This window comes from Homo sapiens, chromosome 10 (assembly GCF_000001405.40).
Source record: "Homo sapiens chromosome 10, GRCh38.p14 Primary Assembly".
NCBI lineage: Eukaryota > Metazoa > Chordata > Mammalia > Primates > Hominidae > Homo > Homo sapiens.
In genome coordinates, this window is record NC_000010.11 from 68,712,834 (window position 1) to 68,733,311 (window position 20,478).

The following is a 20,478-nucleotide window of genomic DNA, read 5'->3' on the forward strand; positions in this document are numbered from 1 at the left end:
GTTTCCTTCAACTCACAGCAGCATTATTCATACTAGCCCCAAAGTAGAAAAACTTAATAGATGAACTAATGAGTGGATAAGCAAAATGTGGTATATCTATTGTGTTAAAGAAAAGTTTTTTTTTATCTGTTTGTAGTCATAATTGTGATGGTTGAGTTTTCATGTGTGAGATGTGTATCACTCAAGCCTTTTTACAATGTCGGTATATTGCCGGGTGCGGTGGCTCATGCCTGTAATCCCAGCACTTTGGGAGGCCGAGACGTGCGGAACACCTGAGGTTGGGAGTTCGAGACCAGGCTGACCAACATGGAGAACCCATATTTCTACTAAAAATACAAAATTAGCCGTGCGTGGTGGTGCATGCCTGTAATCCCAGCTACTCGTGAGGCTGAGGCAGAGAATCACTTGAACCCGGGAGGCGGAGGTTGCAATGAGCCAAGATTGCGCCATTGCACTCCAGCTTGGGCAACAAGAGCAAATACTCCATCTCAAAAAAAAAAAAAAAAAAAGTCTGTATATTACATAAAAAAAAAAAAAAAAAAGAGGCCGGGCGCAGTGGCTCATGCCTGTAATCCCAACACTTTGAGAGGCCAAGGTGGGCAGATCACGAGGTCAGGAGTTTGAGACCAGCCTGGCCAATATGGTGAAACCCCATCTCTACTAAAAATACAAAAATTAGCCGGGTGTGGTGGCGGGCGCCTGTAGTCCCAGCTACTCAGGAGCCTGAGGCAGGAGAATCGCTTGAACCCGGGACGTGGAGGTTGCAGTGAGCCGAGATCACACCACTGCACTCCAGCCTGGGTGACAGAGTGAGACACTATCTCAAAAAAAAAAAAAAAAAAATTAAAAGAAAAAGAAGAAAAATCAGTGACATTTGTTAAAGCATGATAAGGAAGACTTTACTTGGGACCATTATGATTATGTATAGGGACCACTACAGTGGGATTTTACAGTGGGGAACAGAGTTGGCCTAAACTCTGAATACAACATGGGCACGGGGGAATTTATAGCCAAGGAGCAGTTTAGGGTCAGTGGATAGAAAATTACTAAGGGCCAGGCTCACATCTGTAATCCTAGCACTTTGGGAGGGTGAGGCAGGAGGATTGCTTGAGGCTAGAGTTCGTGACCCGCCTAAGCAACAAAGTGAGATCCCCATCTCTACAAAAAAATTATTGCAAAAATCAGCCAGGCGTGGTGGCACACGCTTGCAGTCCTAGCCACTTGGGAGGCTGAGGTGGACAGATTTCTCGAATCTAGCAGATCAAGGCCGCAATGAGCCGTGATCTTGCCACTGCACTCGAGCACTGCTGCCTGGGTGACAGAGTGAAACTTTGTCTCAAAAAAGAAAAGAAAAGGGCCGGGCGCGGTGGCTCACGCTTGTAATCCCAGCACTTTGGGAGGCCGAGGCGGGCGGATCACGAGGTCAGAAGATCGAGACCATCCTGGCTAACACGGTGAAACCCCGTCTCTACTAAAAATACAAAAAAAATTAGCCGGGCGTGATGGCGGGTGCTTGTAGTCCCAGCTACTCGGGAGGCTGAGGCAGGAGAATGGCGTGAACCCGGGAGGCGGAGCTTGCAGTGAGCCGAGATTGCGCCACTGCACTCCCACCTGGGCCACAGAGCGAGACTCTGTCTCAAAAAAAAAAAAAAAAAAAAAAAAAAAAAGAAAAGAAAAGAAAAGAACATTACTAACAGGTAACATCAGAGTCCGGGGATTCTGACTAAACTCATTCAACAGGATTCTTGCTGAAGACAGGTGGAGGTGATGAGACATCACTCTAGTGGTTGGTGGAGGATGAGGAACTTGACCAGATATTGAGGGTGATTAGATATCAAATGTAGGGGGTTCTTGGGCTGGGCGCGGTGTCTCATGCCTGTAATCCCAGCACTTTGGGAGGCTGAGCCGGGCAGATCACTTGAGGTCAGGAGTTCGAGACCAGCCTGGCCAACATGGTGAAACCCTGTCTCTGCTAAAAATACAAAAATTAGCTGGGAATGGTGGTGTGTGCCTATAATTCCAGCTACTCGGGAAGCTGAGACATGAGAATTGCTTGAAACCAGGAGGCAGAGGTTGCAGTGAGCTGAGATCACGCCACTGCACTCCGGCCTGGGCTACAGAGTGACACTATGTCTCAAAAAAAAAAAAAAAAGGGTTGGGGGAGCTCTTGACAAACTTACTTAACAGGGTTCTTTGCTAAAACTAGATTTTAGCTGGGTACAGTGGTGCACACTTTTAGTCCCAGCTACTCAGGAGGCTAAGTCCAGAGGAATGCCTGAGGCCAGGAGTTTGAGACTACAGTGTGCTATGATTGCACCTGTGAATAGCCACTGCATACCAGCCTGGGCACCATGCGAAGACCCTATCTTTCAAAAAACGGTAAATACAAGTAAAAGTGGGTTTTAAGTGCACAGGTGGGCCTAGGTCAAGGTGAGGAGCCTGACTAAAGTTTGGTCAAGCAGAGAATGTCTGTCAGTCTCTTATCTTGCTTTTTTTTTTTTTTTTTTTTTTTTGAGACAGAGTCTCGCTCTGTCACCCAGGCTGGAGTGCAGTGGCACAATCTCAGCACACTGCAACCTCCACTTCCCGGGTTCAAAGGATTCTCCTGCCTCAGCCTCTGGAGCAGCTGGGACTACAGGTGCATGCCACCATGCCTGGCTTATTTTTGCATTTTTAGTAGAGACGGGATTTCACCATGTTGGCCAGGCTGGTCTCGAACTCCTGACCTCAGGTGATCCACCTGCCTTGGCCTCCCAATCAACTAACCTTCCTTCCTTCCCTACTCCCTCCCTCTCTCCCTTCCTTCCTTCTTTCCTCTCTCTTTCTTTCCCTCCCTCCCTTTCTTTTTTCTTTCCTTCCTTTTTCCTTTTTTTTTTTGAGACAGGGTGTCACTCTGTCACCCAGACCAGAGTGCAGTGACGCCATCTAGGCTCACTGCAACCTCCGTCTCTCAGGCTCAAGTGATCCTCCTACCTCAGCCTCCAGAATAGCTGGTACTACAGGGTGCATGCCACCACACCTGGCTAATTTTTGTTTTTGTTTTTTTTTTGTAGAGATGGGGTCTTGCCATGTTGCCCAGGCTAGTCTCTTCTCTTTTCTTTCCTTTGCACAATTTAAGTCTGTTTTTTCATTCAATCACCTTTTATTCTTTAAGGACCAGCTGAATCATCTGTTGGGCCTTGGTAGCAGAGAATATTCACCGGATTGTTAGCGGTCAAGAATTTAACAAGGGGGAATTTCTATGAAAATAAAGAAAAATAACGATTAATAGAAACCCAGTTTCTGAATCTAGAGGGCAGTGAGTCAATAAGATTTTTAGATGTTGGGCTTGAGGATAGCAACCCAATGGATTTCCTGGTTTATGGTTTGAATGTCTCTGGTAATGACATTTGGTGTTTCTGATGAAGTTTCTGATTGGTCCACCCAGTAGCATGCACAAAGTTGATTTCTTTTAAGTTTATATCACATTTTCCAGCTTCGGCTAGCAAGGCGCTGGGAAAATGAGCAGTTTTAATATTTTGTGACTCTAAGCCATAAGGGTGGAAAAAAAAATTGGAAATAATAGTTTGGAGAGTCATAGCCAGATACTGAAGGAAACTAGAAGAATTTAGGATCCAGGTCAGTCCGCAGATAGACCTCTAAGACGATGAACAAGACTAGAATTTTTTTTTTTTTTATGAGACGGAGTTTCGCTATTGTTGCCCAGGCTGGAGTGCAACAGCACGATCTCAGCTCACTGCAACCTCTGCCTCCTGGGTTCAAGCAATTCTCCTGCCTCAGCCTCCCGAGTAGCTGGGATTACAGGCACCTGCCACCACGCCCAGCTAATTTTGTATTTTTAGTACAGACAGGGTTTCACCATGTTGGTCAGGCTGGTCTTGAACTCCCGACCTCAGGTGATCCGCCCACCTCGGCTTCCCAAAGTGCTGCGATTACAGGCATGAGCCACTGTGCCTGGCCAAGACTAGAACTTGATAATCACGAGGATGTTCTATAGTTTTCCATTGAAACTATATTGTCTCTAAAATCACCGTTATTTTTATTAAAGATGATCAAAGGCTGACTTGTTTGCAAAGTAAGTCTAGTCATTAAACTTGACCTCATTATTTACATAAGTATAGCAAGAATAGTGATTGATTTTGATCTTAGGCTTTTTATTTTTATTATTATTTTTTTGAGAGTCTCACTCTGTTACCCAGGCTGAAGTGCAATGGTGTGATCTCGCTTCACTGCAACCTCTGCCTCCCAGGTTTAAGCGATTCCCTTGCCTCAGCCTCCCAAGTAGCTGGGATTACATGTGCCCACTACCACACCCGGCTAATTTTTTGTTTTTTTTTAGTAGAGACGGGGTTTTGCCACGTTGGCCAGGCTGGTCTCGAACTCCTGACTTTAGACGATATGCCCACCTTGGCTTTCCAAAGTGCTGGGGTTACAGGCGTGAGCCACCACCCCTGGCCAGAATCTTAAGAATCTGAGAATCTTAGGACAGCTTTCTTCGGCTCCACAATTCTTCCATCCTCCTTGTGTGACCTTGCATTCATGTTGTATCCACCGTCTTCACAGTGGCATACATGACAAACTGAAAGCCCCTGGACTGTTTGGTGTTTGGATCTCTCATTACTACACAATCTGAGTGCTCCCCATTGTTTAAAATGGCTCCTCAGGCTCTCTCACCAGTTCCCCCTCCCCTTCCCCCTCCCCTCCCCTCCTCTCCCCTCCCCTCCCCTTCTCTCCCCTCTCCTCCCCCTTTTCTTAGAAGGAGTCTTGCTCTGTCGCCCAGGCTGGAGTGCAAGGGTGCGATCTTGGCTCACTGCAACCTCCGCCTCTTGGGTTCAAGTGATTCTCCTGCCTCAGCCTCTGGAGTAGCTGGGATTACAGGTCATGCCATCACACCCAGCTAATTTTATCAGTTGTTTCAAAGCCCAGTCCTCTGCTGAAGAGCTTCCATAGGTGTTCAGGCTCACAATGACAATGAAAAGAGAGAGTTTAATTTTAATTTTTAAAAATAGAGACAAGGGTCTTGCTATGTTGCCTAGGCTGGTGTTGAACTTTCGGCTTCAAGCAATCCTCCCACGTCAGCCTCTCAAAGTGTTGGGATTACAGGTGTGAGCCACTGTGCTTGTCCAGAAGAGAGACTTTCAGGATTCTTCCTCAGTGGGTTCATAGGGAAAGGAATAAACGAAGGAACATATCTCTCAAATTGGACTTTTAAAAGCCCTTTGGCCAAGCGCGGTGGCTCACGCCTGTAATCCCAGCACTTTGGGAGGCCGAGGCGGGCGGATCACGAGGTTAGGAGATCGAGACCACTCTGGCTAACACTAAAAACACTGGTTTTTCTTTTAGTAGAGAAACTCTGTCTCTACTAAAAGTACAAAAACTAATTAGCCAGGCATGGTGGCGGGCGCAGTGGCGGGTGCCTGTAGTTCTAGCTACTTGAGAGGCTGAGGCCCGAGAATGGCGTGAACCCGGGGGGCGGAGCTTGCAGTGAGCCGAGGTCGCGCCACTGCACTCCAGCCTGGGAGACAGAGTGAGACTCCGTCTCAAAAAATAAATGAATAAATAAATAAAATAAAAAAGCCCTTTAAGGGTATGAAGCCCAGCCAAGGACCTGCCATCAGATTTTGCTTGCAATACCTATGGATTTGGGTGAATTCCTCTTAAGAGGCTAAAGTATCTTAAGCCCCAAAGCATCTTAAGGTTTCTGAGCCTGCCAGAAAGTGACATCCCTTACTCACTTAAAAGCCAGACCTTATTGGCTCCATAAAGTGAAGCTTATTTTTTTTAAGTTGTCTGATCATATTTGAAAATATGACATATGGGTTAAAGTCTTGGCAATAAAACCAATGTCTCTAATTGTGTAGTGCTACAAGGTTATCAAATTCATATTGAATTTATGCGTATTACTATACTGTCATGAAAATAAGAATACTAATAGTTTCTGAATTCTGGAGGGATCAGATAGGGAGAAAAAAATAAGTTTTATCTTTGTTCACAATGGTATATTTTACCAAATTGCTGTAAGCTATAGATAGCTTAAGAGAAAATAGAAAGATTCCTTAAATTTGGAAAAAATATTAAAGAATGCGCAATGTGGCCGGGCGCGGTGGCTCACGTCTTTAATCCCAATACTTTGGGAGGCCGAGGCGGGTGGATCACGAGGTCAGGAGATCGAGACCATCCTGGCTAACATGGTGAAACCCCGTCTCTACTAAAAGTACAAAAAATTAGCCGGGCGTGGCGGCGGGCGCCTGTAGCCACAGCTACTCCGGAGGCTGAGGCAGGAGAACGGCGTGAACCCGGGAGGCGGAGCTTGCAGTGAGCCGAGATTGCGCCACTGCACTCCAGCCTGGGGGACAGAGCGAGACTCCGCCTCAAAAAGAGAAAGAAGAAAGAAAGGAAAGAAAAAAAAAGAGAAGAAAGAAAGAAAGAGAAAGAAAGAAAGCGCAATGTTAGCCATAAAATGGAATGAGTTCTGATACATGCCACAACATGGATGAACCCTGAAATCAATGTGCTAAAACAAAGAAAACCAACACATAAAAGGCCACATATTGTATGATCCTATTTATAGGAAATGTCTAAGACACAGAAATGTTAGTGGTTGACTGAGACTGGGAAGAGCAGGGATTAGGGGGCTGTTGCTTAACAGGTATGGGTTTCTTTTTCTGGTGATATAAAGGTTCTTGAAGTAGTGGTAGGGATGGTTGCACAACCTTATGACTATACTAAAAGCCACTGAATTGTACTTTTTTTTTGAGATGGAATGTTGCTTTTGTTGCCCAGGCTGGAGTGCAATGGCGTTATCTCAGCTCACTGCAACCTCCGCCTCCTGGGTTCAAGCAATTCTCCTGCCTCAGCCCCCTGAGTAGCGGGATTATAGGCATGCGCCACCACGCCTGGCTAATTTTTGTATTTTTAGTAGAGGTGGGGTTTCACTTTGTTGGCCAGACTGGTCTTGAACTCCTGACCTCAGGTGATCCACCTGCCTCGGCCTCCCAAAGGGCTGGGATTACAGGCGTGAGCCACCGTGCCCAGCCTGAATTGTGCTTTAAGATATTTTAAATAGTGAATTGTATGTTAAGTAAATTTTATGTCAATTTTTAAGACGAGTTAAGAATGTTACAGGGTATAACTAGTTCAACTATTGTGGAAGACAGTGTGGCGATTCCTCAAGGATCTAGAACTAGAAATACCATTTGACCCAGCCATCCCATTACTGGGCATATACCCAAAGGATTATAAATCATGCTGCTATAAAGACACATGCACACGTATGTTTATAGTGGCACTATCCACAATAGCAAAGTCTTGGAACTAACCCAAATGTCCATCAGTGATAGACTGGATTAAGAAAATGTGGCACATATACACCATGGAATACCATGCAGCCATAAAAAAGGTTGAGTTCTTGTCCTTTGTAGGGAGGACATGGATGAAGCTAGAAACCATTTTTTTTTTTTTTTTTGAGTCGGAGTCTCACTCTATTGCCAGGGCTGGAGTGCAGTGGCGCGATCTCGGCTCACTGCAAGCTCCACTTCCCGGGTTCACGCCATTCTCCCGCCTCAGCCTCCTGAGTAGCTGGGACTACAGGCGCCTGCCACCACACCCGGCTAATTTTTTTGTATTTTTAGTAGAGATGGGGTTTCACCATGTTAGCCAGTATGGTCTCGATCTCCTGACCTCGTGATCCGCCCGCCTCGGCCTCCCAAAGTGCTGGGATTACAGGCGTGAGCCACCGCGCCCGGCGAAACCATCATTCTGAGTAAAGTATCGCAAGGACAGAAAACCAAACACCGCATGTTCTCTCATAGGTGGGAAGTGAACAATGAGAACACTTGGACACAGGGTGGGGAACATCACACACCGGGGCCTGTCGTGGGGTGGGGGGAGGGGGGAGGGATAGCATTAGGAGAGATACGTCATGTAAATGACGACTTAACGGGTGCAGCACACCAACATGGCACATGTATACATATGTAACAAACCTGCACGTTGTGCACATGTACCCTATAACTTAAAGTATAATAATAATTTAAAAAAAGAATGTTACGGGGCATATCCTTTCTCTCAAATAATGGAACGAGGTTAAAAAAAAAAGGTTAAACATAAAATGGCGGCGGGCTGGATCGGATCACGTGACCGCCATTTCTTTCCTTCCCACCCAAAGGAAAGCCCTTCCTTCAGAGCAAGCGCAAGACATATAGCCCCGCTCATTGTTAAGCGAGGCCAAGGCAACCCTTAGGCGCGCTCTATTTCCCCTTTCGTAGCGAAAGGGCCAGGCGTATTGAGCGGTCAGGGGAGCGCGCACGCAGAACGTCAGCCAGTAAGCGCCGTTCCTCCGGGAGATGTGGAGGAGGGGGGCGGCGTGGAGGAAGAGGGGGAAGTTGGCGCATGCGCCTAAAGCTGACGGGTTTGAAATGGCTTCGATGTTAGCCGGGACCCGACTCAGGTGAAGGTCTGGTCCCCGTAGTTGGAGCAGTGGGCGGCCAAGCCGGGTCTCTTAACATCTTGTCGAATCTGTGGAAGGGCCGGGAGCGATCTTTTGGGTAGCCCGGCGGCCCCGGGCGGCGACGGTGGGGCTCTTGTGGGACTGGGACGGGAGGGACGCGGTCCCTTTTGTGCGGGTCGGAGCAGGCCCGGCGCGGCCAGCCCCACCCCCACCGCTCGGCTCCTCAGGTGCCCCCAGCGCCCCTCAGCCTCGGCATGGCGACGCTGCAGTCCGCCGCCCCATTGCTCCCGAGCCGCTGCGGTTTTACCCTCCTGGCCCCCCGGCCCGGGACATCGTGGCGGCTCCCGGCGGCGTGGGTCTTGGGGAATAGAGGCTTTCTCCGTGCGTGGTAAACGAGCCCAGGGCTCTCGGGAGCCATCGAGTGTCGTGGGGCGGTGGGTTCCGCCTTCCGTCGCCGGCGGCCGGCACGGAGCTGGGACTGGAGGAAGATGGACGGCCGAGCTCTGGCCCTTGAGGGTCGTGGCGGCCGAGGAGGGGGTGCACGGGCGGAGAATCTTCGCCTTTTCTGGTTTATCTTGGGGGGAGGGGTTTTCCCAGTGGTTCTTTAAGGGACATCCATTATCTCAACGGCCTTTTCCTTCGAGGTCGGGGTTGGAAAAGAAGCCCCCTAGGTTCCTTTTCTACTTTGGAAAGTAGAGATGTTCGTTATTTAAATGATATCTTTAAATACCTGTGATGGGGGTCTTGTCCCAGTATCCGTTATTGGTTTTAACATTACCCTGGCCTCACTCCCCAACCCATTGCCAGAAGAAACACGCAGGCTGTATTTCCTGTGAATATAAAGTTGTGAACTTTTTGTTAACAATTGGGTGGATACAGCAGATGGTCTTCGTTTAAATGTGACAACTTGTAGTCCCAGAAAGGAGTGCTTTTTCTGAGTCTCCCTCTAATGTTATCTTGTAAAATAGGGCATTTTTGGTGATCTACTTGATGTAAAATGTTTTTGCTGCATTTTGGATGTTCATTTGCCCTTTTTCTACTTAACAGTTGTTATTTCTGCTGAAATCTGCGAAGACGTCCTCGACACATTAAACATTTCTTTCTATTGTAATATCCTTTTGTGATATCTGTAGCTTGGTTGGACTTTAAAATGTGGATCCTTTTCTTGATAGATCGATGCTATAGAAGACAAACAAGGGAAGGTTTTTTTTCCTTTTGCATCATGGCTCAATTTGGAGGACAGAAGAATCCGCCATGGGCTACTCAGTTTACAGCCACTGCAGTATCACAGCCAGGTCAGGCTTCTAAATACATGTACTGTAATTGTTTGTGGGGGACTTGTTAAAACTACGTGAATTAGGGCCGGGGGTGGTGGCTCACGCCTGTTATCCTAGCACTTTGGGAAGCGGAGGAGGTGGATCACGAGGTCAGGAGTTCGTAACCAGCCTGGCCAACATGGTGAAACCCCGTCTCTACTAAAAATACTAAAATTAGCCGGGCCTGGTGGCACGCGCCCATAATCCTAGCTACTCAGGAGGCTGAGGCAGGAGAATCCCTTGAACCCGGGAGGTGGAGGTTGCAGTTAGCTGAGATCGCGCCACTGCACTCCAGCCTGGGCGACAGAGAGATACTCCGTCTCAAAAAAACAAAACAAAACAACATGAATTAGGCTGTTCTGATATTCTGATATTGTAAAGTGTTTGCAAATTGTGAATTCATTAACTTTCTCTGTGAAGCTCCTTTAAAAATCCATAGATCAACTAACAAGCTGTTTTACATAGTAGTTTGGACAGTTTTGTAGTTTTTTTTTTCCCCAAACATTTATTTTTTTATTTATTTTTATTTTTATTTATTTATTTTTTTGAGTCTTGCTCTGTCGCCCAGGCTGGAGTGCAGTGACGCAATCTCAGCTCACTGCAAGCTCCGCCTCCCGGGTTCACGCCATTCTCCTGCCTCAGCCTCCTGAGTAGCTGGGACTACAGGCACCCGCCACCACGCCCGGCTAATTTTTTTTTTTTTTGTATTTTTAGTAGAGACGGGGTTTCACCGTCTTAGCCAGGATGGTCTCGATCTCCTGACCTTGCGATATGCCCGCCTCGGCCTCCCGAAGTGCTGGGATTACAGGCGTAAGCCACCGCACCCGGCAGTTTTGTAGTTTTTTAATACCTTAGATTAACTTTTAATTGATTTAATTCTGTTAGAGTTTAGCTACTCATTCATTACAATATACTGTATTTGGCATGTTAAGTTGTCAGTATTAATGAGTTATGTTTAAAAGTAAATGGGCCGGGCGCGGTGACTCATGCCTGTAATCCCAGCACTTTGGGAGGCCAAGGCGGGCAGATCACAAGGTCAGGAAATCGAGACCATCCTGGCTTACATGGTGTAACCCCGTCTCTACTAAAAATACAAAAAATTAGTCGGGCATGGTGGCAGGCACCTGTAGTCCCAGTTACTCGGGATGCTGAGGCAGGAGAATGGCGTGAACCCAGGAGGTGAAGCTTGCAGCGAGCTGAGATCGCGCCACTGCACTTCAGCCTGGGTGACAGAGCAGGACTCCATCTCAAAAAGAAAAAAAAAAAAAGGTAAATTTAGGCTGGGCGCGGTGGCTTGTGCCTGTAATCCCAGCACTTTGGGAGGCTGAGGTGGGTGGATCACCTGAAGTCAGGAGTTCAAGACCAGCCTGACCAACATGGAGAAACCCTGTCTCTACTAAAAATACAAAACTGGCTGGGCATGGTGGTGCATGCCTGTAATCCTAACTACTTGGGAGGCTGAAGCTGGAGAATCGCTTGAACGTGGGAGGCAGAGGTTACAGTGAGCCGAGATCACACCACCGCACTCCAGCCTGGGCAACAAGAGCAAAACTCTGTCTCAGAAAAAAAAAAAATGTATTTAGGCTAGGTGAGGTGTCTCATGCCTGTAATCCCAGCATTTTGGGAGGCCAAGGTGGGCAGATCACCTGAGGTCAGGAGTTCGGAGACCAGCCTGGCTGACATGGTGAAATCCTATGTCTACCTAAAAAATATAAAAGTTAGCTTGGCGTGTTTGTGCAAGCCTGTAATCCCAGCTACTCATGAGGCTGAGGCAGGAGAAGTACTTGAACCGGGGAGGCAGAGGTTGAGTGAGCTGATATCGCAACGCTACACTCCAGTCTGGGTGATAAAGGGAGACTCTCCCCAAAAAAATTGAGTCGGAGGTCTCACTTTGTTACCCAGGTGGATCTTGAACTTTTGGGCTCACGCGATCCTCCCATCTTGGCCTCCTAAAGTGCTGGGATTACAGGTGTGAACCACCAGGACTAGCCAGTTGTTTGAATTTAAAGTTGAAAAACTACATTCAAAAAAAAAAATCACCTGGACCTGGTGTTATGTACCTGTGGTTCTAGCTATTCAGGGAGGTTGAGGTAGAAGGATTGCTTGAGCCAGGGAGGTCAAGGTTGCAGTGAGCCATGATGGTGCCATTGCACTACAGTCTGAGTGAGACCTGGTCTCAAAAAAGGTAAAGAAAAAGAAAGAAAACCAACTCTAAAGAATTTAGTTACTAGACAAAGGAAAAAGATAGTTGTAAAAGCTGCTGGATGCAGTGGCTCACTCCTGTAATCCCAGCACTTTGGGAGGCCAAGGCGGGCAGATCACCTGAGGTTGGGAGTTCAAGACCAGCCTGACAAACATGGAGAAACCCCGTCTCTACTAAAAATACAAAGGTAGCCTGGCGTGGTGGCACGTGTCTGTAATCCCAACTACTTGGGATGCTGAAGCAGGAAAATCTCTTGAACCCGGCGGAGGTTGCGGTGAGCTCAGATGCTCAGATTGCGCCATTGCGCTCTAGCCTGGGCAACGAGAGAAACTCCGTCTCAAAAAAAAAAAATAGTTGTAAAAGCAGTAAAAGAACATTTACATTTTCAAAATAAAGTCAACAAGGCCCGGTGCAGCACTTTGGGAGGCGGAGGTGGGCATATCACTGAGGTCGGGAGTTCGAGACCAGCTTGACCAACACAGTGAAACCTCCTCTCTACTAAAAATACAAAAATTAGACGGGCGTGGCAGAGGTTGCAGTGAGCCGAGATGGCACCACTGTACTCCAGCCTGAGCAGCAGAGTGAGACTCCAGCTCAAAAAAAATAAATAAAAATAAAGTCAACAAAACGTCATTTTCAAAGTAAATAGAAAATGTTATTGAAGCTTTAAATTCTTCCCAATCTTTTTAGGAAGAATTTTTTTTTTTGGTCATTTTTTGACTTATTTGTTGAATCTCAAAAGCTTTAACTCCTGTAGATTCAGAATTTTTTACTTGAATGAAACCAGTTGTGTTTAGGGATTTCAAATAAGTTTCCCAAGAATTCTACAGAATGAGATTTTGATTGTCTTTTAATTTGAATATATTTTTATTTATTTTATATCTCTTACTCTTTGCTGCATTTTACTTGCTTAAAATATCTTTTTTAATTCGAGGTCAATTTCGGAGACACTGTGATCTTCTAACTTCAGTGTTCCAAAATTTGATGGAAATGATTAGTTATCTTGGTGACCTTTCTCTTTAAAGACGTGGAGACCTGGCACAGTGGCTCATGTATGTAATCCCAGCACTTTGGGAGGCTGAGGCAGGAGGATCAGTTGCATCCAGGAGTCCAAGACCAGCCTGGGCAATATAACGAAACCCCATCTGCAGAAACTCAAAAATTAGCCAGGTGTGGTAGAGCACGCCTGTAGTCCCAGCTATTGGGGAGGCTGAGGCGTGAAGATCGCTTAAACCTTGGGAGGTCTAGGCTACAGTGAGCTGTGATAGTTCCGCCATATTCCAGCCTGGGTGACAGAGTGAGACCCTGTCCTAAAAAAAAAAAAAAAAAAAAGAAATGGGTACTTCAGGGTTTTAATTTTTTTTTTTTGAGATTGAGTCTCGCTCTGTTGCCCAGGCTGGAGTGCAGTGGCATGATCTTGGCTCACTGCAAGCTCCACCTCCTGGGTTCAAGCGATTCTCGTGCCTCAGCCTCCCAAGTAGCTGGGACTATAGGCGTGTGGCAGCAAGCCCGGCTGATTTTTTATATTATTAGTAGAGACTGGGTTTCACCCTGTTAGCCAAGATGGTCTTGATCTCCTGACCTTGTGATCCGCCCACCTCGGCCTCCCAAAGTGCTGGGATTACAGGCGTGAGCCACTGCGCCTGGCTCTTGACATGCTTAAACCTTTGTATCCTAATCCACAGTGCTTACCATAGATCCTTACTTCCCTAAGGAAGCTTTTCTCCTCCCATCTCTGGCTTGGTGGTGATACTCTATCTTTAGTATTATTATTTTAAATTCTAACTGCTTACTTTTATTTGTTTTTCTCTCTTAGTTACTATGTGTGATAATCCTTATTTTTCCTCCAGCTCCAGTGCATCCATCAGATCTGATATTCCTAAAACATAGTTTCTGTCAAAATCACAGAATTTTGGCTGGGCGTGGTGACTCATGCCTGTAATCCCAGCACTTTGGGAGGCCAAGGCAGGCAGATCACGAGGTCAGGAGTCCGAGACCAGCTTGGCCAACATGGTGAAACCCCGTCTCTACTAAAAATACAAAAATTAGCCGGACATAGTGGTGTGCATCTGTAATCCCAGCTATTCGGGAGGCTGAGGCAGGAGAATCACTTGAACCTGGAGGCAGAGGTTGCAGTGAGCCCAGATCGTGCCACTGCACTCCAGCCTGGGTGATGAGCAAGACTTCCTCTCAAAAAAAAATAAAAATAAAAAAATAAATTCACAGAATTTTTTTCAAAGCTGGATCAGGCCTAAACTAGATTTTTTTTTTTGTTTTTTTTTTTTTGACAGAGTCTTGCTCTGTCACCCAGGCTGGAGTGCAGTGGCACGATCTGGGCTCACTGCAATCTCTGCCTCCCGGGTTCAAGTGATTCTTGTGCCTCAGCCTTTGGGACTGTAGCTGGGACTACAGGCGCGTGCCACCACTCCCGGCTAATTTTGTGGGTTTTATTTTTAGTAAACATGGGGTTTTGCCATCTTGCCCAGGCTGGTCTTGAATTCCTGAGCTCAGACAATCCGCCCATCGTGGCCTCCCAAAGCTAAGCTAGATTCTATCCCAACTTAATTCTCTAAGAGATGAGGAAATTGAGGCCAAGGACGGTGAAAAAAATTTGTTTACGTCTCACAGGAGGTCATAGCAGAGTCAGTGTTAGGACCTCAGAATTGTGGTTCATTTTATCTTCTATTTCTTCATTTTCTCATTCGTCTGCAAAAGTATCTTCAAAGAGTTTTAGAATACAGTTCAGATTCTAGGATGGTATTCAAGGTCTTATTTTTGTGGCCCTGTTTTTCATTTTTCTCACCCCTTGAAATATATTCTTAATATTTACCGTATTTTTCCATATCCTACCTGAAGTGCTTTGATACGTCTTCAGTGACAGCCATTCTAGGGACCAGAGCTTTTAGTTTTGAAAATTTCTGTTGTGTAAAGAGACGTTGAGAGAAATGGCCAATGACTCACCAGTCAGTGACCAGTCAATCAAATCTTTAAGTAGCCCTTATATCAATTATCTTATTTTATTTTTTTGAACATGGAGTCTCGCTCTGTCTGCTCAGGCTGGAGTCTGTCTCACTCTGCCTAGGCTGGAGTTCAGTGGCATGATCTCAGCTCACTGTAACTTCTGCCTCCAGGGTTCAAGCAATTCTCCTGCCTCAGCCTCCTGAATATCTGGGGCTATAGGCTTGCTACCATACCCGGCTAATTTTTGTATATTTAGTAGAGACACGGTTTCACCATGTTGTCCAGGCTGCTCTTGAACTTCTGACCTCAGGTAATCCATCCGCCTTGGCCTCCCAAAATGCTGGGATTACAGGTGTGAGCCACTGTGCCCGGCCTTAGATCAATTATTGATTATAGAGGTACCTTCAGTATATTTGATGAAAAATATTTACATGTGTATCTGTATTTAAACTATTAAAATATGGAGGTGGATTTACCAGATTCAGACCTATTGTCACCCATTTCATATATTTTTTTAAACATCCATTTCATTTTTTGATTTTTTTTTTTTAATCTTTTTAGCTAAGGGAAAAAGACATCCAAAAATAATCCTGGAGGTTTTTTTTTCCGTTGTTTTTGTTTGTTTGTTTTTTGAGACAGGGTCTCACTTTGTTGCCTAGGCTGGTCTCAAATTTCTGCCTTCAAGGGATCACTCAGCCTATGAATGGTGTCTTCAACTGCCTAAGGGGATTGGCCAACAGTTATTTGAATTGTAGTAAGAAGAGGCTATTGCCAGGAGCACTAGTCCTCACTTCCAAAGGACTTCTGTCTGAGAGCGGAAGAGCTGTCATCTGTTAGGACATTATAGAGAGTATAAGAACCTCATATAACAATAAGGCTTTTCCTTTTCCTTATAGAATAGCACTGTCCAGGCTGGGCGCGAGTGGCTCTCGCCTGTAATCCCAGCACTTTGAGAGACCAGACAGGTGGATCACCTGAGGTCAGGAGTTTGAGACCCACCCACCTAACCTGGTGAAACCCTGCCTCTACTAAAAATACAAAAATAAGCTGGGTGTGGTGGTGGGCGTCTGTAATCTCAGCTACTTGGGAGGCTGAGGCAGGAGAATCACTTGAACCCAGAGACAGGTTGCAGTGAGCCGAGATCGTGCCATTGCACTCCAACCTGGGCGATAGAGCTGGACTCCGTCCCAGAAAAAAAAAAAAAAGCCCTGTCCAATAAGTAGAACTTTCTATGGTAATAAGCATGTGCTACATCTGCTTTGTATAATATGATACCCACTATGTGTGACTATTAAGCCCCTGAAATATACTTAGTGTGACTGAGGAACTGAATTTGTAATTTTATGTTAATTGTTATTAATTTAAATGAAATAACCACATGTATTTGGTGGGTAGTGAATTGGACAATACAGTTATATAAGATCATAACACTTGTAATAGGTTATATTTAAAGTATTATTTTGTAGCCAGGCGTGGTGACTTACTCTTTTTTGTTTTTTTGGGTTTTTTTGGTTTTTTTTTTTTTGAGACAGAGTCTTGCTCTGTCGCCCATGCTGGAGTGCAGTGGCGCTATCTCGGCTCACTGCAAGCTCCGCCTCCTGGGTTCATGCCATTCTCCTGCCTCAGCCTCCCGAGTAGCTGGGACTACAGGCGCCTGCCACCACGCCCGGCTAATTTTTTGTATTTTTAGTAGAGTCAGGGTTTCACTGTGTTAGCCAGGATGGTCTTGATCTCCTGACCTTGTGATCCACCCGCCTCGGCCTCCCAAAGTGCTGGGATTACAGGTGTGAGCCACCGCGCCCGGCTCTTGGTGACTTACTCTTGTAATCCTAGCGCTTTGAGAGGGTCGCTTGATTCCAGGAGTTTGAGACCAATGTGGTGGCACATGCCAGTAGTCCCTCAGGAGGCTGAGTCAGGAGGATTGAGCAAAACTCCGTCTTAAAAAAAAAAAAAAAATACAAAAACATTTCTTGGGTCAGTTTGAAATTTTGAATTTTAAAGTCTTTAAAAATTTCTTTTTTATAGTGGGGTCTTGCTATGTTGCCTAGGCTGGATTTGAACTCTTGGATGGAAGCAGTCCTCCTGCCTTAGGCTCCTGTGTGCACCAACATGTTCTGCCAGGTTTTGAATTTTATTCATTATTTCAGAAAGATGACTCACTTTTTTTTTTTATTGAGATGGAGTTTCGCTCTTGTTGCCCAGGCTGGAGTGCAGTGGTACAATCTCAGCTCACTGTAACCTCCGCCTCCCGTGTTCAAGCGATTCTTCTGCCTCAGCCTCCTGAGTAGCTGGGATTATAGGCACACGTGCCACCACACCCAGCTAATTTTTGTATTTTTAGTAGAGATGGGGTTTTGCCATGTTGGTCAGGCTGGTCTCAAACTCCTAACCCCCTGATCCACCCGTGTCGTCTTCCCTAAGTGCTGGGATTACAGGCGTGAGCTGCTGCGCCCAGCCCCTCTTTTGTGTTTTAATGATAGCTTGTGGTCAATAAATTATGTTAATAGTATATTATAACATGACTGTTTTAGTCATATGAAACTGATTGTAGTTTTTAAAAAAGAATATATATATATATATATATTTATTTTTTGAGATGGAGTCTAGCTCTGTTGCCCAGGCTGGAGTGCAATGGCAGGGTCTCGGCTCACTGTAACCTCCACCTCTTGGGTTCAAGTGATTCTCCTGCCTCAGCCTGCTGAGTAGCTGGGACTACAGGCGCGTGCCACCATGCCCCACTAATTTTTGTATTTTTAGTAGAGACAGGGTTTCACCATTTTGGCCAGGATGGTTTCGATCTCTTCACCTTGTGATCTGCCCGCCTCAGTCTCCCAAAGTGCTGGGATTACAGGCGTGAGCCACCGCACCCAGCCAAAAAAGAACATATTTTTATCCTTAAAGGTGGTTTCAGAAAACTTAGCCCTTAATTTTTTTAATTTAATTTTTTGAGACAGGGCCTCACTTTGTCACACAGGCCGGAGTACAGTGGTGCAGTCACGCTCGCTGTAGCCTTGATATCCTGGGCTCAGGTGATCCACCCACTTCAGCCTCCTGGGTAGCTGGGACTACAGGTGTGCGTCACCATGTACTACCAAATTTTTTATATTTTTCATAGAAGCAGGGTTTTGTCTTGTTGCCCAGGCTGCCCTCAAATTGCTGGGCTCAAGCAGTCAGCTCACCGTGGCCTCCCAAATTGCTGGGATTACAAATATGAGCCACTGTGCCTGGCCTAAATTTTATTTAGTAGATAGCCTGTGGTCATTTTGGTTTCATTTCATTTAGTTATTTGTGATATAAATACATAGTGATAAGTATCTATTGTGATTGTGGTATGGGACCTTTGACAATCATATTGAATGAGGTAAAAGTGAAGGATAAAGTGCTTCAATATGTATAATTGGAAAAGATCTTCAAATGACACGTGTTTAGCTATTTATGTGTGTGAGGGAGATTAAATCAGAGATTAATACCTTTGTACTTTGCAGATTACAGAATTACTTGCAGAATGTTGATTCTAATAATTCACATTGAGTGCAGAATGCACATATAAAAATATTCAAGGATAGCTTCTCAAATGTCCACAAAGGGGAGCATTAATAAATATTTAATGAAATACACTTCATTGAAATTAAAGTCTCAAGTATAAGTGATTTAGAAAAGAACTGTTATATATTTATAAAAGATATAATCACATTCACAGTGATTCCACAAAATTTGAATAAGTACCTGGTAGTGTGAAGCAACTACTCTACTGCAATGTAAATTATCTTCCTATCAATTTTTCCTAGCAGTCAAAATCTTCATTACCTATTAAATTGTCTTGTTTCTGTTTTTTTTTTTTTTTTTTTTTTTTGGTAGAATCTTGCTCTGTCACCCAGGCTGGAGTGCAGTGACACAATCTCGGCTCACTGCAACCTCTACCTCCTGGGTTCAAACAAGTGCCTCAGCCTCAGAAGAAGCTGGGATTACAGGCATGGGCCATCACACCTGGCTAATTTTTGTATTTTGAGTAGAGATGGGGTTTCGCCATGTTTGCCAGGCTGGTCTCAAACTCCTGACCTCAAGCAATTCACCCACCTTGGCCTCCCAAAGTGCTGGGATTACAGGCATGAGCCGCAGTACCTAGCTGAAATTGTCTTGTTTCTAACTCATCACATGGACTGTCAGGTGTAGAAAAGAGAAGTGTGGGTATTGGATGTCATCTTACCTACTTGGTGCTGGACTGTTGTATGCTGCCAGAATACAGGACACCCAGAAAAATTATAAGAAAAAATGGACATTCTGCGATTTTGGCTCTCAGCACTTCTGCTGTGGCAACTGTCAATACTTCCCAGGGTTGTGGGAGTTGGTACCAGCAGAGTGAAACAGCAAATCTAAGGCCGTGGTTCAGGTGGATGAAAGTGATGTCATGATACTTATACTTGAATCACTGATTTAAAATGTCAAATGCAGAACATGCCGATCTTAATTTATTAACATGCCAATTCAGATTATTAGAATTTAAAGTACTAATACTTTTTCATAGCGTCTTGTTCCTATTTACATGATAATTTTTTTTCTATTACCAGAACAGTTTTGTTTGTTTGTTTGTTTGTTTGTTTGTTTGAGACAGAGTCTTGCTCTGTCACCCAGGCTGTAGTGCAGTGGCGCCATCTCAGCTCACCGCAACCTCTGCCTCCCTAGTTCAGGCTGTTCTCCTGCCTCAGCCTCCTGAGTAGCTGGTACTACAGGTGTGCACCACCATGCCCAGCTAACTTTTGTGTTTTAATAGAGATGGGGTTTCACCGTGTTGGCCAGGCTAGTCTCAAACTCCTGTCCTCAGGTGATCTGCCCGCCTCAACCTCCCAGAGTGCTGGGATTACAGGTGTGAGCCACCATGCCTGGCCAGAACAGTTGTTCTTAACCTTTCTAGGGCCTATATATAATCCTTTTGAAAATCGGATGACAGCTATGGATTTATCTTCCATTTTGCATACGGTTTCAGGAAATTATCCCACCTTTTAGAACCTATGCCCTATCCAGGCATGGTGGCATGCGACTGTAGTCCCAGTTGCCGGGGATGCTGAGGCGAGAGGATTGCTTGAACCAGGAGTTCAAGGCTGCAGTGAGCTAAGATTGCACCACCGCATTCCAGCCTGGGTAACAGTGTGACTGCATCTCTGAAAAAATAATAATAGAACCTGTGCCCTACATTTTGATGCACTATTTTTTCTGTATTCTCATTGCGGTTAACCTCATTTTGAATTAATACTGGTGTTAAGATATTCCCCACGTCTATTTAAATTCACTTTGTTGGTCCTTGTTTTATCCTTTCTCCCTACCTATGACATCTGACTTATCTTAAAAATAGTTAAAAGAGAAAATAGGCCAGGCACAGTGGCTCATACCTATAATCCCAGCACTTTGGGAGGCCGAGGTGGATGGATTGCTTGAGCCCAGGAATTCGACACCAGCCTGGGCAACATAGTGGGACCCTGTCTTTACAGAAACTATCAAAAATTAGTCAGGCATGGTGGAATGTGCCTGTAGTCCTAGCTACTCTGGAGGCT

General features: G+C 45.5%; 1 protein-coding gene and 1 pseudogene across 4 annotated transcripts in view, besides 4 other annotated features; both read left to right on the top strand.

Moving 5' to 3' along the window:
- The first annotated feature begins 124 nt into the window (after nucleotides 1–124).
- On the top strand, nucleotides 125–222 carry LOC124902592 (uncharacterized; annotated as a pseudogene).
- Nucleotides 5,104–5,273: an enhancer, noted in NCBI's record as "experimental_16833 CRE fragment used in MPRA reporter constructs". NCBI's record gives its function as "activates a minimal promoter by MPRAs in K562 erythroleukemia cells, with activity observed for the non-introgressed 10:70477779 variant allele {active_cell/tissue: K562}" and the evidence as "EXISTENCE:reporter gene assay evidence [ECO:0000049][PMID:34662402]".
- Nucleotides 8,406–20,478, top strand: part of CCAR1 (cell division cycle and apoptosis regulator 1) — a 71,139-nt gene continuing 59,066 nt past the window's right edge. For 2 of the 4 annotated variants that reach the window (NR_104262.2, NM_001282959.2), the window contains exons 1-2: nucleotides 8,406–8,455; nucleotides 9,622–9,744. Coding sequence is in view for 3 of the 4 variants with exons in the window: in NM_001282959.2 (NP_001269888.1) it covers nucleotides 9,672–9,744 (73 nt within the window). In the remaining variant the exon portion in view is untranslated. The remainder of the gene's footprint in view (nucleotides 8,456–9,621; nucleotides 9,745–20,478) is intronic. The other 2 variants (NM_018237.4, NM_001282960.2) reach the window with 1 other exon arrangement.
- Nucleotides 8,539–8,708: an enhancer, noted in NCBI's record as "experimental_16840 CRE fragment used in MPRA reporter constructs". NCBI's record gives its function as "activates a minimal promoter by MPRAs in K562 erythroleukemia cells, with activity observed for both the introgressed and non-introgressed 10:70481214 variant alleles {active_cell/tissue: K562}" and the evidence as "EXISTENCE:reporter gene assay evidence [ECO:0000049][PMID:34662402]".
- Nucleotides 8,539–8,762: a biological region, named in NCBI's record as "ATAC-STARR-seq lymphoblastoid silent region 2421".
- Nucleotides 8,633–8,762: a silencer, noted in NCBI's record as "silent region_2421". NCBI's record gives its function as "represses an Ori minimal core promoter by ATAC-STARR-seq in GM12878 lymphoblastoid cells {active_cell/tissue: GM12878}" and the evidence as "EXISTENCE:reporter gene assay evidence [ECO:0000049][PMID:35858748]".